The following is a 14959-nucleotide window of genomic DNA, read 5'->3' as shown; positions in this document are numbered from 1 at the left end:
AGGGTAGGGGGTGGTTAAAGGACACAAATTACAGCTAGATAGGAGGAATAAGTCCTAGTGTTCCATTGCACTGTAGGGTGACTGTAGTCAATAATAATTTACTATATATTTTAAAATAGCTAGAAGAGGGGCGTTTGAATGTTCCCAACACAAAGAAAGGATAAATATTTAAGGTGAGGAATATATGAATTACTCTGATTTGATCACTGTACATTGTGTGTATTGAAATAGCACTATGTACCCAATAAATGTGTACGATATCATGTGTCAACTATAACAAATACTTTTTTAAAAAAGAGGAACAGATAAGGCATAGCTGTATAGTGCACTACAAAGAACATGAAGTTTCAAACCAAAACATTTGGATTTTAGTCCCATTCTACTTACTGGCTGAGTGATCTTTGGCAATGCATTTTGAGCTATATGAGTCTCAATTTTCTCAAAAATAGAATGAAGAAGCCGGGCGCGGTGGCTCACGCCTGTAATCCCAGCACTTTGGGAGGCTGAGGCGGGCGGATCACGAGGTCAGGAGATCAAGACCATCTTGGCTAACATGGTGAAACCCCGTCTCTACTAAAAATACAAAAAAATTAGCTGGGCATGGTGGTAGGCGCCTGTAGTCCCAGCTACTCGGGAGGCTGAGGCAGGAGAATGGTGTGAACCCGGGAGGCAAAGCTTGCAGTGAGCCGAGATCGCATCACTGCACTCCAGGCTGGGCGAAAGAGCCAGACTGCGCTCAAAAAAAAAAAAAAAGAATGAAGATAATAATATTAACTTTCTCCAAAAATCACTATGAAGATTCAATAAGATAGTTCACTCAAAAACACTTGATAAAAAGTTGGTAGAGCTGAGTGTGGTGGCTCATGCCTGTAATCCCAGTACTTTGGGAGGCCGAGGGAAGTGGATCACCTGAGGTTGAGAGTTCGAGACCAGCCCAGTCAACATGATGAAACCCCGTCTCTACCAAAAAATACAAAAATTAGCCGGGCATAGTAGCACATGCCTATAGTCCCAGCTACTTGGGAGGCTGAGGCAGGAGAATTGCTTGAACCCCGAGGGGGTGGAGGTTGCAGTGAGCCAAGATCATGCCACTACACTCCAGCCTGGGCAACAGAGACTCTGTCTCAACAACAACAAACAAACAAACAAACAACAACAACAACAAAAAAAAAAGCAGAGGAACATAGATTGTACCAATTCATTTTGTGTTCTCCATTTCATTTACTTAGGCTGGGTAAAGGATCTTGGCTTTAACCAATATTTAGTCTTACTATTTTAGGTATTTACCCTAAAGAGTTTCCATGAATGTAAAATTTCATGCAGTAGTTCAATCTGAGCCTTTTCATGGACCTAGCTCTATATTGCTTACTGAATCCCTTCTGTATTCTACTCTGATATCTATTTTAGACTGAGCTTGTGGGGTTCTGATTATCATTTGTATTAGGGCTTTTGCTAATATTCCATAACTATATTGGTGATTCCTCTGAACCACTCCCCTTCAAAAAAATATAGGCTGAGGTACTGTTATTTAATTATTTATTATTGTTTGACCTACACTATACACACACAGAGACACTGAAACACACACATACACATTTATTTTAAGTTATGTTCTAGGGCCAGGTCAGTGGCTCATGCCTGCAATCCCAGCACTTTGGGAGGCAGAGATGGGAAGCCCAGGAGTTTGAGACCAGCCTGGGTAACATGATGAGACTCTGTCTCTTCAAAAAATAAAAAAAATTAGCCAGACATCATGGCACACACTTGTGGTCCCAGCTACTGGGGAGGCTGAGGCAGGAATATCACTTGAGCCTGGGAGGTTGAGGCCACAGTGAACTGTGATCATGCCACTGCAGTCCAGCCTGAGTGACAGAGTGAGACCCTGTGCCAAAAAAAAAAAAAAAGTTATCTTCCAGTGAATGTCTCAGTGACCTTGAACAATCACCTAGATTCTGTGACTCAGTTTTCTCTAATCCAAGTAAAATAACTTACTTCATAAGAATTTGTTGGGATTAAATGAAATATTAATTACAAATGGGCTTCATAAGCTATATAGGTGCTAAAATACATACAAATTCTAGATAAAAAAAAAGCCCATAAGGGGCTTATGATTTTAACTCATAAACCTGATTCTGATTTCATTTCTAATATTCTTTATTATCTATATTTTCTCAGGAGATTGTGCTGATGAGCCAATGTGAAGAGCCCATGCTTTTGACAAGTGTTTCTCATTACAAATAAATGCAATAAAATCTTAATGAAATAGAAGCCAAATGTTAAAACATGTTTTTGTTTTCTTGGCAAAATAAGCTAATCAAAACACTTTAACACTCTGGCTAATTGACAGTATACCATGAATCAGCCTCATTTGCACGTGGGTGGCACATTTAAACTTTCAAAGCCTGATCATATCTGTATAGGCTAACCCAAATTGCTGGAGTCCACACCAGAATGTATAAACTTGTGAGATCCAGCCCAAAATACCCTCCAGACAGTCTAACAACATTATCACCTGAAATACCAGTATGAAATTAACAACAACCCGAGGCTTTTTTTTTTTTTTTTTTTTTTTTTTTTTTTTTTTTTTGAGATAGGGTCTGGTCTCACTTTGTTGCCCAGGCTAGAGTGAGGTAGCATAATCACAGCTCACTGTAGCTTCTACCTCCCGGGTTCAGATGATGCTTCCACCTCAGCCTCCCAAGTAGATGGGATCACAGGCATGCACCAACACACTCAGTTAATATTTTTAAAACAATTTTTAATATGTGGGGGGTTGGGGGGACGTGGGTGTCTCCTTATTTTGTCCAGGCTGGTGTCAAACTCCTGGGCTCAAGAGATCCTTCCACTTTGGCCTTTCAAAGTGTTAGGATTTACAGGTGCTAGCCACCACACCTGGCTCTGAGGTTTCCTTGGCATTTTTGGGTAAATGCCTTAGAATACTCTAGGGCACAAAATTGTTGCTTTCTCTCTAAAATCCTGGGCCAAACATGTTGTAATAATCCTGTGATATTTTTACCTTTTCTAAGTCTTTCATATATTTGGAGAAAGAAAAAAATTACTCTTTTCTTTGAACAAAGGTTTAATTAGGAAAAAAGAGACAACCATATAGTATCTTTAGTATAGTATATTTATAGGAATGCATAACATGTGAGATGTACATTTTGAAGTTTCATCCATAACTTATAACATTTACTGTAGCAGTAACAAGACAGCAGGTCATCACTTTACAACATTACACATGAGTGATTTTGACTTACAAATAAAATATTTACAACCTACCTTTACAAAACGACATTGTGTGCATACAAAATGAACAACAGCAGAAAAATTTAAAAATAATAAAATAACCAAAAACCCAGAAGATACACTTAAGGCAGACCAGCAAGACACTGAAATAATTAAGGCTGTGGAATTCTTCTGCACCTTGAAAATATAGAGCTATTTATCAATACTGTGGAGTGATTTTAAATCAATTGTTACAAGCCTGATGGAAGTATGTACTTATATGTATATGTGCGATGGTCCCTATGGGGAAACCTGTCCACTTATGAATAAGGCCCTTTGTCTGAATGGCCAGTGAAGCCCACTCCAAATTCTCAAAAGACTTGAGGGGGGCAGGGGTCACTCAAAACCAAGAGATGCCAATACAGTTTGCAAATCAACTATTAATAGTTCAAATGTAAAGATAGTTATAAGTCCAGATAAACAGAATAAACTAAATGATGGCCCCTTTATGTTTCACACTTTGTTAGTTTGGCTTTGTGGATGTCAAAAGACAGCAAATTAATTCCAGAATGAGTAGAATTCGTCTCCACAAATTAGCCCTAATGGTTTTGAATGGCCCTAAATGGTTTTCCATTAGAAACATTGACCCACCTGGGCTGTCTGCAAATGGATAGATTTCTGCATATGAGCAATAACATATACATACATATTATACACTATATACATGTACAGATGTACATATATCCATATTTTCCAACAGTTTGCACTTTGATCACTACTGTTCTCTGAACAGGATCTCATTATGAAGAGTATGTTTAGTTTTTTTCAGTCTTCATATTTGTTCTAACTACTAGTTTTACTCACCTTCCCCATAGAGTAGGCTGAAGTTTGGCAGAAACAGAAGTAAAAGCACCAGGGTCAGAAAAATCAAACATAGAGTTGACAGATATGGCTTAAGTTAGTAAGAGAAGATGTATGTCTTGTTAACTTCAGATTCGTAGCCACAGTCTTTGAGGTCATAGTAACAGTCTCTGTAATACTCCAGAACATGGATTCAGTTGTTGATGGAAGTCAGGTATTGATGGAAACTCATATGATGGCCATCCCTGGGCCAACAAATTAGCTTGGTTAAACTAAGCCTCAGGAGTTGGCATTCCAAGAATTGTTATTTGCATTTCTTCTACCATGCTTCCTTTTCTCAGCTAACCTCACTATCTGAAATAGCAGTTATCTAACTAATGCGTTATCTTGATCATTTGAATAAAAACTAAATCTGAACACATTTTAGAATCTCACAGCAAAGGGGCACATTTCTCACAGAAAAATGCAATAGCCTGTGCGTATTAATTTCAGGCTTATCATAATGTCCCTCAAAGACGAAAAGTTGTCTTAGAGTGATTGCTTTTTCCTCTCCTCTAACTTCTTCATATTTATTGAAGATGAGGAAGAAATGCCTTTCATAGAAAATATGTTTTATGATAATCTGTATTCTACTACTTCTGCTTAAATTTTTTATGTGAGTAAATTTCCTATTAAAAACATTTAGTGCTATAAACAAATTTCAGCCCTTTTTAACCCTTTAGAATTAATGAAACAACTGAGAGCCTTAATATTTTTAGAAAATAAATATTAACATAGTAGCTTTCCTTTTCTTGATGGAGCGTGTGTGAGCTCTGTCGTCTCTAAGCCCACCATGGGTTTAATCATTCATCATCAAATCATCCCTAGGCTTTAAATAGTGAGGAAAAATCAAGGTGCAGTTTTATAAATAAATTCACTGAAAGGTCACATATTGCATTTGTCTAACCCAGACTCCACAGAGGTGCGACCCAGGAGAGAAAGGAAGAAGGTCTACATTCCTCGAAACTCATCCAGCACAATTCATTGACCATACTGAATAAGGACATGGTGAGTTTGAACTTTGCCCTACTACAAAGACCTCTTACGTACAAAATAATTTCCTCCTGTATTAAATGCATGGGACAAAGTTTTAGTTAATGCAAAATTTAGTTTATATCATATTTGCTCCCTCATATTCTCACAAATCTAAATTGCCATGCTCTTCCACAGAGGCAAGAAAAAAGTAATGCCTAACTCGTGGGCTCTAATCATGGAGGTTATGGGATAGCAAATATGCAACTCCTAAAAGACCTAACCACCTAAAAAAAAAAAAAAAGATTCAAGGTTTGTCCTCCAAAAATGAGCAGTCCAATTCATTTCTATGCATTTAATTTGCCTGTGCATTTAATTTGTCTCTTAGATTCCTGTGAGGCTGTGAAAAATAAATTGTGGTATGAGAAGATATTTTCTTCTCACTTCTGCCCTCCCAAGTGAAGAAAGTGGTTGTTGGGTTCTTCTCTGTCCTTTTTTCCAGAGCATAAAGCTTGAGAAGGAAGGTAGCAGTTGCTTTCAAGGGCATTTTACTCTTCGCATCTGCCATAAGAAATACTGGAGAAAACAACTTATGGACATAAGACTTCATCAGCTCTCCTAACCCTTTTCGGTAGACAAGCTCTTAAATGATCGAAATTATAGGCTAAGACCAAATAACATTTAGACAAAGAGCACCTGATACTTCCAACTGAAAACAATTTACAGAATTTAATCTCATGAGTTTATAATTGGTATCTAAAGACGTGAATATTGAAAACCTGGAATGTTCAAAGTTACTATCAATAAAATTCTTAGCACTGGCAGTGTGTAGCACTTAAAAAAATCAAAGTATTTTATAGATGTCCCCACCAAGGTTATTTCTCAACATTCCTGTAAGATTAATGTCCTCCCTCCTTCCCCATCCCCCAACTCCCATTTTACCAATGGGGACATTTGGGGAAGGAAAAACAAAGACTTTCTGTAAGAAAAGATGAATCAGGAATAGCTGAGATTGAAACTCAAACATTCCTGGTCCCACCCCTATATTCAGATGTTTTCATTTACAAGATATTTTAAAGTAAAGAAAAAATGCTGCAATATCAGTACATCTAAATGCAATGAACTTCTTTATCTCCCATCCTCCCCTCTGAAAGGCACTACTATTTATAAAGGCTTTGTGGACCACAAAGCAGTGAAGCTAGCTTTCTCCTCTGCTTCCTCTACTCCCCCTTACATTGTTTATGGCTGAGAGAGACCTGAAGGATATCTCCAACATTACCATTTTTTTCTTAAAAATTTTACCACATTCAGCTGTAAGTGGATATATATCTATTTAATTTGAAACAAATGTAAAAGATGTAGGAAATCATTATATTAATACTTCTTAAAAGTTATTATGGGTTGTCCCTGATCTTTTCATTCTTTCTGTATCCCACCCTTACAAAACAAAACAAAACAAAAAGCTCAAAACCCTATGCAATGAATAAAAGCCAAGCAAGAAACTTGTGACCTTGACCATTGTTTGTTTTTCCCATTTCAGCTGAAAGTTCACTCCCACTGTGAACTACCATCATAATGATAGAAATGGACCATTTTCTCTTCTCTCCTCTCTTCTTTACTACCAAGTAATAAATCTCTCCGCCAAAACAGGAACAAGAGTGGCCCCTGATCCTTTTTCCCTAAGCACGGTTGCCCTCAGAGCAACCTAAAGTACATTCCCCAGGATCATCATCATCTGGGATTCCTTGTTATTTCCAACTTGCTGTGGAGAACTCTTGAACCAAGACTACTCTCTTATCTCTGTTGGGAGGGACCAGGAGCTTTGCAGACAGGGAGCCTCCCTGTTAGTTTCCCTCCGTTATCAAACTATATAAAATATACCCCCTTTCTCTTGGGGCCTCTATTAAGTTCATTCTAGTCTAATGATTGTACCTTGGCTCCAGTTAACAAAATCATCCTACTTTTCATTTCTAGGTCCCTCCTTTCCTGTCTTCTCACTTCCCAAATATGTGTACTTGGGGGAATTCCATGCAACCCCACATCTGGATCCTCCCAACTCTGTTGTAAAAGCTGATATGAAAGCTTGGGGTCTGTCTAACATTCTGTCAACTGCCCCCATAACATAATTTCAAAAATACCCTCCTTGTCCCCCACCTGCCGTGGTCTGCACACCATTGTTCTGGGCCCTGGCCTTCTCAAGCAGAAACTCAACTTGTTATAAAAACTCAGAATGGCTCAGCAGGGGGATCTTGATTCAGGTCATCCACAGTGGACAGAACAGAACTTGCCAAGCTGGACTTTATGGATATTGGGAATCCTCAGAGCCTACAGTTTGTCCCATGACAAACCCTATGGGCCAGGCTTTCCTTTTTTTTCGAGACAGAATTTTGCTCTTATTGCCCAGGCTAGAGTGCAGTGGTGCAATCTCGGCTCACGGCAACCTCCGCCTTCCGGTTTCAAGCGATTCTCCTGCCTCAGCCTCCCAAGTCGCTGGGATTACGAGTGCCCGCCACTACGCCCAGATGATTTTTTTGTATTTTTAGTGGAGACAGGGTTTCACCATGTTAGTCAGGCTGGTCTCGAACTGCTGACCTTGTGATCCACCCGCCTCGGCCTCCCAAAGTGCTGGGATCACAGGCGTGAGCCGCCGCGCCCGGCTCAGGCTTTCCTCTTTTATGCTGTATACCATAATGAAGACATGTTTATTGAAAGGGTTTTAGTAAACTGTTTACTAAAAGGATTTTTAGTAAATATGTTTTAAATTTTTTAAACACAATGAAAACATGTTTACTAAAATTTTTTTACTAAATATGTTTTACATTTTGAAAAATTTTAGTAACCATGTTTAATGTATGTTTTAAATTTTTATGTATTGTATCATAGAGTGTTTGTAAATACATAAAGGTCCAAATGAAGACTATAGGGGTTAGTCGAGAGACCTCTGAGGGAGTGAGGCTTTATGACCCAGGGCCATTTGAAAATTAAGAAACAAATACAGTCGGAGTCGGTTTCCATATATTTGGTTAATCCCAAAAATACTAAGTGCTATCTAGTCTTATTGCTTATACTTTCCATTAATTTATCAATCTATAATCTTGGATGGGATGAGGTGGAGGGCGAATGAGGAAGTTGTCTTTGAAACCAATGGAAAAAAAAAGATGATGATTTTTAATTTTACATTTTCTCTGTGGGAATAAGTGTTTTTTATATGTTAAAGTTCAGGCTTAGTTTCCACCATTTCTTTTTCATTTAGATAGGTTTGTAGTTCTATTCATCCTTCATAAATTCTCTTCTTGCACTTCTGTACTACGTGATTTTAATTTTCTCTATCCCATTATAGGAGAGAAGCAACACCATTAAACCTGATTTGAACAAACACTTGAGTTACATTTTTAAAATCTTACTTGTATAATCGCAATTTTCAACACACATTCTAGAAAACTAAGGGTGGATCATGTACAAACACAAAAAACAAGCTCCCTCCCTCCAAAACAAATGAACAAAAATAAAGAAAGAAAACCCATGAAATGCCCAGGTTTAATTTTTTTTCCACCAGAGGGAAAAAGAGCAGTTAATAATAATCTTGTATGGAGAATATACACCAGAAAGCAGCATTGGCCTCAAAGTACAATTAGTCCTTTTAGTTCAGAGAACTATCAGCGGCTGCATGGTGACAGGTATTGCAATCTCAGTTACAACTTAATGCTCTGTTAGGGTGATGTATCAGGTTTTGTTCCATGGCTTTAAAAAGGACTTAGAACCAGGCCTTTAAAAGGCCTATATGGCTGCCTCCTTTTAGTAAGCACCCCTTAGCTTCAATAAGGAGTTAGAAATAAAGCCAGCCAACTTTCTGAAAGATGGTATTCTACAGCTGTAGAAGAAATCAGAAAGTGTTGGTACGTTGTTCATAGGAACTGTAGGAAAGGTTTTCATTTGCCCTTTTATATGAACCTCTTGTATTTGTTTACTTATTTCAAACCTGGTGTAGACACAAAAATATCCCCGCAGCTCATACTGTATTTGAATTTATTTCCTGGCAGGCTTTCTTTCCAGAATAATTCTGAGCTGCCAGTGAATTTGCGGGGAGCGTTTCATATACAGAAAGAACCTATCTTAATCAAATAACCTGCGATTGACAGAAAAAATTTTCTCATTCAAAAGGGCAACATTGCTTTCTCTTAATGCACAGGTTCTGGTAAAAGATTTCTATACAAGATCTATAAAATGCTCTAAAAAAACTTGTCATCTAATTGTGCTTAGTCAAAACAATGTAATGATTCGGTAAATAAATTACTGTCTTAACTGGAGCACTCAAAATTACTTGTGATTGATTTAATATATATATCTCTATATTAGAAAACTCTGAAACCTGAATGGGATATATTATACTGTATGTGGGTATCTATCCTATTAAGAAACTATATCTAAGTTATCTAAACCAGAATAGTTGATATACATGACATCTCCATTAAATAGAACTTCTTGCTTAAAATTTCAGCAAAGCCAGAGATCTTTTATACTCTTGTGAGCTTAAGGTTTGCCCAGTTAACCACTCATTTTGGAAGATACAGTTAAAATTTCGTAACAGCTAATATTGTTCTTATCTTTGCCCTTCTTCTGAACACTTCTGTGACCCTTTGCCTCTTTATTTCTTCAGAATGACCTTCTGAAAAGCCCCTTGATTTAGGGTGACTTTTACTGCTGCTCAGACCCTGAATAACCACTGACGAGGTTTAAGAGGTACATCTCTCAATTCAGAGAACTGCACGGAGTGAAATGATGAACAGAATTATTTACAGTCACATTCAGTCTTGCTTTGGTTCACACTGCACGTCTATGTGAAACCATAGGGGCTGGGAGATGGCTACGTCCCTTGGTTCACCCGGTTGACAATGTAGCTCTTGACATTGGGAATAGGCCGCACATCATTCTGGTGCTTGCGACGTTCTATGAAGCATGCTAGGCGGGAGGTGTCCAGGGGGATCTTAGAGTAGCTGCCATTATGGGGCTGCAGCCATGGATGCTGCAAGCATGTGGCTGCTGTGGGCCGCCTCCGAAAATCTTCCTGTAAGATCACATTGATGAAATCTCTGGCAGCATTGCTCACACCACAGAAGTATTCATGGGGGAAGCTGAAATCCACCCTGCATACGTTGATACATGTCTCCTCTTTGCTCTCATCCAAGAAGGGGGAGACCCCACTCAGCATGACATATGTCAGAACCCCGATGCTCCAGATGTCTGTCCCCAGGGAGACGGGGATGCCTTGAATGACTTCTGGGGCAGCAAACTCAGGGTTCCCCAGCAGGTGGTGAATGTGGAAGTGACCCGAGATCTGGACAGCATCCTCCAAGTCAATGAGCTTCACTCGAGGCACTGGAATCCGTAGGTCAATGAGCAGGTTTTCAGGCTGCAGAGATCCAAGGAAGCAGGGAGAAAAGAAGGGAAGTTTAGGCCTCTATTTTGACTACTCAAAATACCTCATTAATTCAAACACAGTTATGCTATTCTTTGATAAAGCCTATGGTGTACAGAAAATTCCCTATGCACTACGGAAACTGCATAGGATACTTCAAACTATCATTTTGAGCTTACTACACTTTGAGTTTGGGTGGTAATTCAGAGAAGTTGTTTGACATTGAAAATCATGTTTTCTTAACTACACTGCTTCTGCATTGAATCAAGGAAATAATAAATTACTCATTTTGGTGAACAGGGGCTTCTTTTTGAGAAGCATGGAAGAGAAGGTGACGTTTGTTGGCTTACTTCTATGAAGTTAGATTAGGTAGGTAGAACTTCCCTACCTTCTCTCACACCAGATGTCATTGTGGCTCTGGCATATTCTCATTAATTCATGGATGATACACTTAAATTGTGTGACAGCCCAGATTCTCTTTAATAGTCATAATGGGGAGGCCGGGCACGGTGGCTCACACCTATAATCCCAGCACTTTGGGTGGCCAAGGCGGGTGGATCGCAAGGTCAGGAGTTCGAGACCATCCTAGCCAAGATGTTGAAACCCCATCTCTACTAAAAATACAAAAAAATTAGCCAGGCATGGTGGTGGGCGCCTGTAATCCCAGCTACTCAAGAGGCTGAGGCAGAGAATTGCTTGAACCTGGGAGGTAGAGGTTGCAGTGAGCTGAGATCATGCCACTGTACTCCAGCCTGGGTGACAGAGCGAGACTCCATCTCAAAAAAAAAAAAAAAAATAGTCATAATGGGATGGATGTGTTGGCTCACGCCTGTAATCCCAGCACTTTGGGAGGCCAAGGCGGGCAGATCACTTGAGGTCAGGAGTTCAAGACCAGCCTGGCCAACATGATGAAACCCTGTCTCTACTAAAAATACAAAAATTAGCTGGGCATGGTGGTGAGCGCCTGTAATCCCAGCTACTTGGGAGGCTAAGGCAGGAGAATCGCTGGTACCTGGGAGGCGGAGGTTGCAGCGAGCCGAGATCGCACCACTGCACTTCAGCCTCGGCAACAGAGTCAGACTCTGTCTCAAATAAAAAAAAGTTATAATATTCTACTCTAAGTAAATAAAATGAATTTGAATTTATATTCCTTATGAGTAATGACTGGTAAGTTGGACTTGGCCATTTAAGGTATTCCCTGCAAGGTTGCCACTTCTTTTTTTTGAAGGGAGTCTCGCTCTGTCGCCCAGGCTACAGTGCAGTGGCGCGATCTCGGCTCACTGCAAGCTCCGCCTCCCAGGTTCATGCCATTCTCCTGCCTCAGCCTTCCAAGTTGCTGGGACTACAGGTGCCCACCACCACTCCTGGCTAATTTTTTTGTATTTTTTGTATTTTTAGTAGAGACGGGGTTTCACCGTGTCAGCCAGGATGGTCTCGATCTCCTGACCTTGTGATCCGCCCACCTTGGCCTCCCAAAGTGCTGGGATTTCAGGCGTGAGCCACTGCGCCCAGCAGGTTGCCACTTCTTATTACCTTTATGTCCAAATGTGCAACCCTGCAGTTGTGAAGGTACTGCAGAGCCTCCATGATGTCTCGGATATAGAAAGCTACTTTTTCCTCCATCAGTTCATCATGATTCATAAGGTAGTCTAAGAGCCGGCCATCATCCATCCTGAAAGTAGGCAGGGAAAGGCAAAGGAAATATGTTTGAAATGAAGAAATAGAAAAATAACACATGTACAAATCAGTAAGATCTCTAAACTCTCTCATACTTATTGTTATACATGAAGACCAAATGTGCAACACATGCATATTTAGTTAGAGCCTAAAGTTATTGTAATATTCAGAACTAAAATAAATATATTTACAAATATGGTATACTGCAGGGAGTGTGTATAACCTTGTTTAAGAAACATTCTCCTTCATTAACTCTAAAAATTGCTCACAAGAAAAAAGTTGTGACACCCATTTAAGAGGTTTGATTGCTAAGTAAAGAAAGCCTTCACCAAGAGAGACTTCAGCAATATCCTGATTAACCATAACCTAGTGGCTGCAAACAGCCCCACATGTGTTTTGCAAAGTACTTCTTAATTTTATTTTAAGATTAATTTTAGAGATGAAGTCTCACTGTGTCGCCCAGGCTGGAATGCTGTGGCACAATCATAGCTCACTGCAGCCTCGAACTCCTGGACTCAAGTGATCCTCTTGCTTTAGCCCCTCACATAGCTGGGATTTCTGGAGGAGGCCACTGTGCCTAGCCAAACTACTTTCATTTGTCAGTTTTAAGTTGGGGAAAACAGAAAGTAGGCAAAGTTTGTTCTTTGCATTATTGATTCTCTGTCCCTCCCCTACCCCACCACCTTTTTTTTGTTGTTGTTGTTTGTTTGTTTTGTTTTTGAGACAAAGTCTCTCTTTCACCCAGGCTGGAGTGTAGTGGCATGATCTCAGCTCACTGCAACCTCCGCCTCCCAGGTTCAAGCGATTCTGGTGTCTCAGCTTCCCAAGTAGCTGGAATTACAGGCGTGTGCCATCACACTCAGCTAATTTTTGTATTGTTAGTAGAGACAGAGTTTTGCCATGTTGGCCAGGCTGGTCTCAAACTCCTGGTCTCAAGTGATCCACCCGCCTGGGCCTCCCAAAACGGTGGGATTACAAACATGAGCCAGCGTGCCCGGCTCTTGATCCCTTTTTGAATCCTTTGCCTTCTGGGCAACTTTTCCAACCTTGAGAACTGTGATTGAGAACATGGTATATGGAGCCATCCAGACCCAGATTCGAATCCTGGTTCTGTTACCTACCTGCTGAAGGCTGGGAGCAAGTCATTTGAACTCTGTGTTTTGGTTTCACCAAAGTGAACCATCTTTAAAGTGGGAATAAGAACAGCAACAAAATAATAACAATTATTATTCATTATATTAATATAATATAATGAATTAATATTATCATATAGTGGGTGAATATTACTGTTCACCTATTTGATTATGAGGATTGTGCAAGGATGGAGTGAGATGATGAAGCATTTAAGCATAATTGGTAGCATAGGTAAGTGCTAAATAAATGGTAACTATTCTCAGCCACCCTCTGTCCTCTTACAGCAAGGAGTTACCAAATGTCAGGTATTCTTTAGTGTACATTGAGTTGTTAAAGGCACATGCCCAGGAAATGCCCATGCAGAGGAGCCTGATGCAGGGTCAGAAATGACTTTCAGTTACAGCTGAAATCCCCCTGGTCAAGTTTACCTCTTCCCCTCTAGCTTGCTCCTTCCCACTGGTGTCTTCTACTTTCCCTGACAGGAGCAAAGGCTAGAACCCATGCAAGCCTCTTTTGCTTTCCTCTGACCCTGCTAAGGGTGAGGTAAGAGTGATCAGAGTAGAGTGGAGTAGGATTGGGCTTGTTAAATGTATTCCCCTGAACTTCTTGGAGTCATTAAGGGAGCAATTAACAGCAGCACTGCTCCAAGTGAGAGAGTCTTAGCCACCAAGTTCACCTTTAGAGCTTTTGGATAAGGCAGATGCCCACATCCTACCCTAGACTAGGGAATCCAAATCTCAGTTGCCTGGTAAAGAAAGGCTCTCCCAGCAATTCTGGTGACCACCTAAGGGGAGGCCACCGTCACCTAATTGGCAGCATAAGTATTTGCCAAATAAGCATAACAGGATAATGAGATCCAGCACAGGGGTTAGCTCAGGCACTGCCTCTCCACAAACTTTCCCTGAACTTCAGGTCCAACCAAGCACCTATGTTCTCACAGCAATCTTCTCCAATGCATGCTTTTCTTTCTTAGTATTTATCATGTTATATTAAAATCATCCATTTATCTATCTATTGGTCTTCCTCATTAGACTTGTAACTCCTCGAGGGCAAAAACTATATCTTTTCCCCCTATTTTTTTTTTTTTTTTTTGAGATGGAGTCTCACTCTGTCGCCTAGGCTGGAGTGTAGTAGTGTGATCTTGGCTCACTGCAACCTCCACATCCTGGGTTCAAGCAATTCTCCTGCCTCAGCCTCCCGAGTAGCTGGGATTACAGGTGCCTGCCACCATGTCCAGCTAATTTTTGTACTTTTAGTAGAGATGGGGTTTCACCATGTTGGCGAGGCTGGCCTCGAACTCCTGACCTCAAGTGATCCGCCCACCTCGGCCTCTCAAAGTGCTAGAATTACAGGCGTGAGCCATCGTGCCCAGCCCTTTTCCCCCTATAAACTATACCTCTGCCTCCTATAAACTACCCTTATAACTATAACTTTGTTCCCCCGACCCTGGCCCTGGTCTGGATGGTAGTTGGTGCATAGCGAGGGCTCAGTAAACGTTTGCTAAACTAGTTCAACCCACTGTTCATCTAACTTAATCCCTGCAACATCTCTGGGAAGTTGGAGGAATTTCAATCTTCACAGATGAGGACTCGGGGCCCCAGCAAACTAAGTATTCTGCTTCAAATCACAGAGCTG

At 40.4% G+C, this 14959-nt stretch overlaps 1 protein-coding gene across 18 annotated transcripts in view; it reads right to left on the bottom strand.

Annotated features, from left to right (window-relative positions):
• The window catches only part of KALRN (kalirin RhoGEF kinase), a 692957-nt gene continuing 681104 nt past the window's right edge, over positions 3107 to 14959 (bottom strand). For all 18 annotated transcript variants that reach the window (XM_006713810.4, XM_017007429.2, XM_011513279.3 and 15 more), the window contains 2 exons: positions 12047 to 12185; positions 3107 to 10507 (listed from right to left, as the gene is read on the bottom strand). In XM_006713810.4, coding sequence (XP_006713873.1) covers positions 9962 to 10507; positions 12047 to 12185 — 685 coding nt within the window. In that variant the 3' untranslated portion in view covers positions 3107 to 9961. The remainder of the gene's footprint in view (positions 10508 to 12046; positions 12186 to 14959) is intronic.

The sequence above is a fragment of the Homo sapiens genome, chromosome 3 (assembly GCF_000001405.40).
Source record: "Homo sapiens chromosome 3, GRCh38.p14 Primary Assembly".
In the NCBI taxonomy this organism is placed as follows: Eukaryota; Metazoa; Chordata; class Mammalia; order Primates; family Hominidae; genus Homo; species Homo sapiens.
The sequence above is the reverse complement of the archived record's forward strand: the minus strand, read 5'-3'. Positions and strand labels throughout refer to the sequence as shown.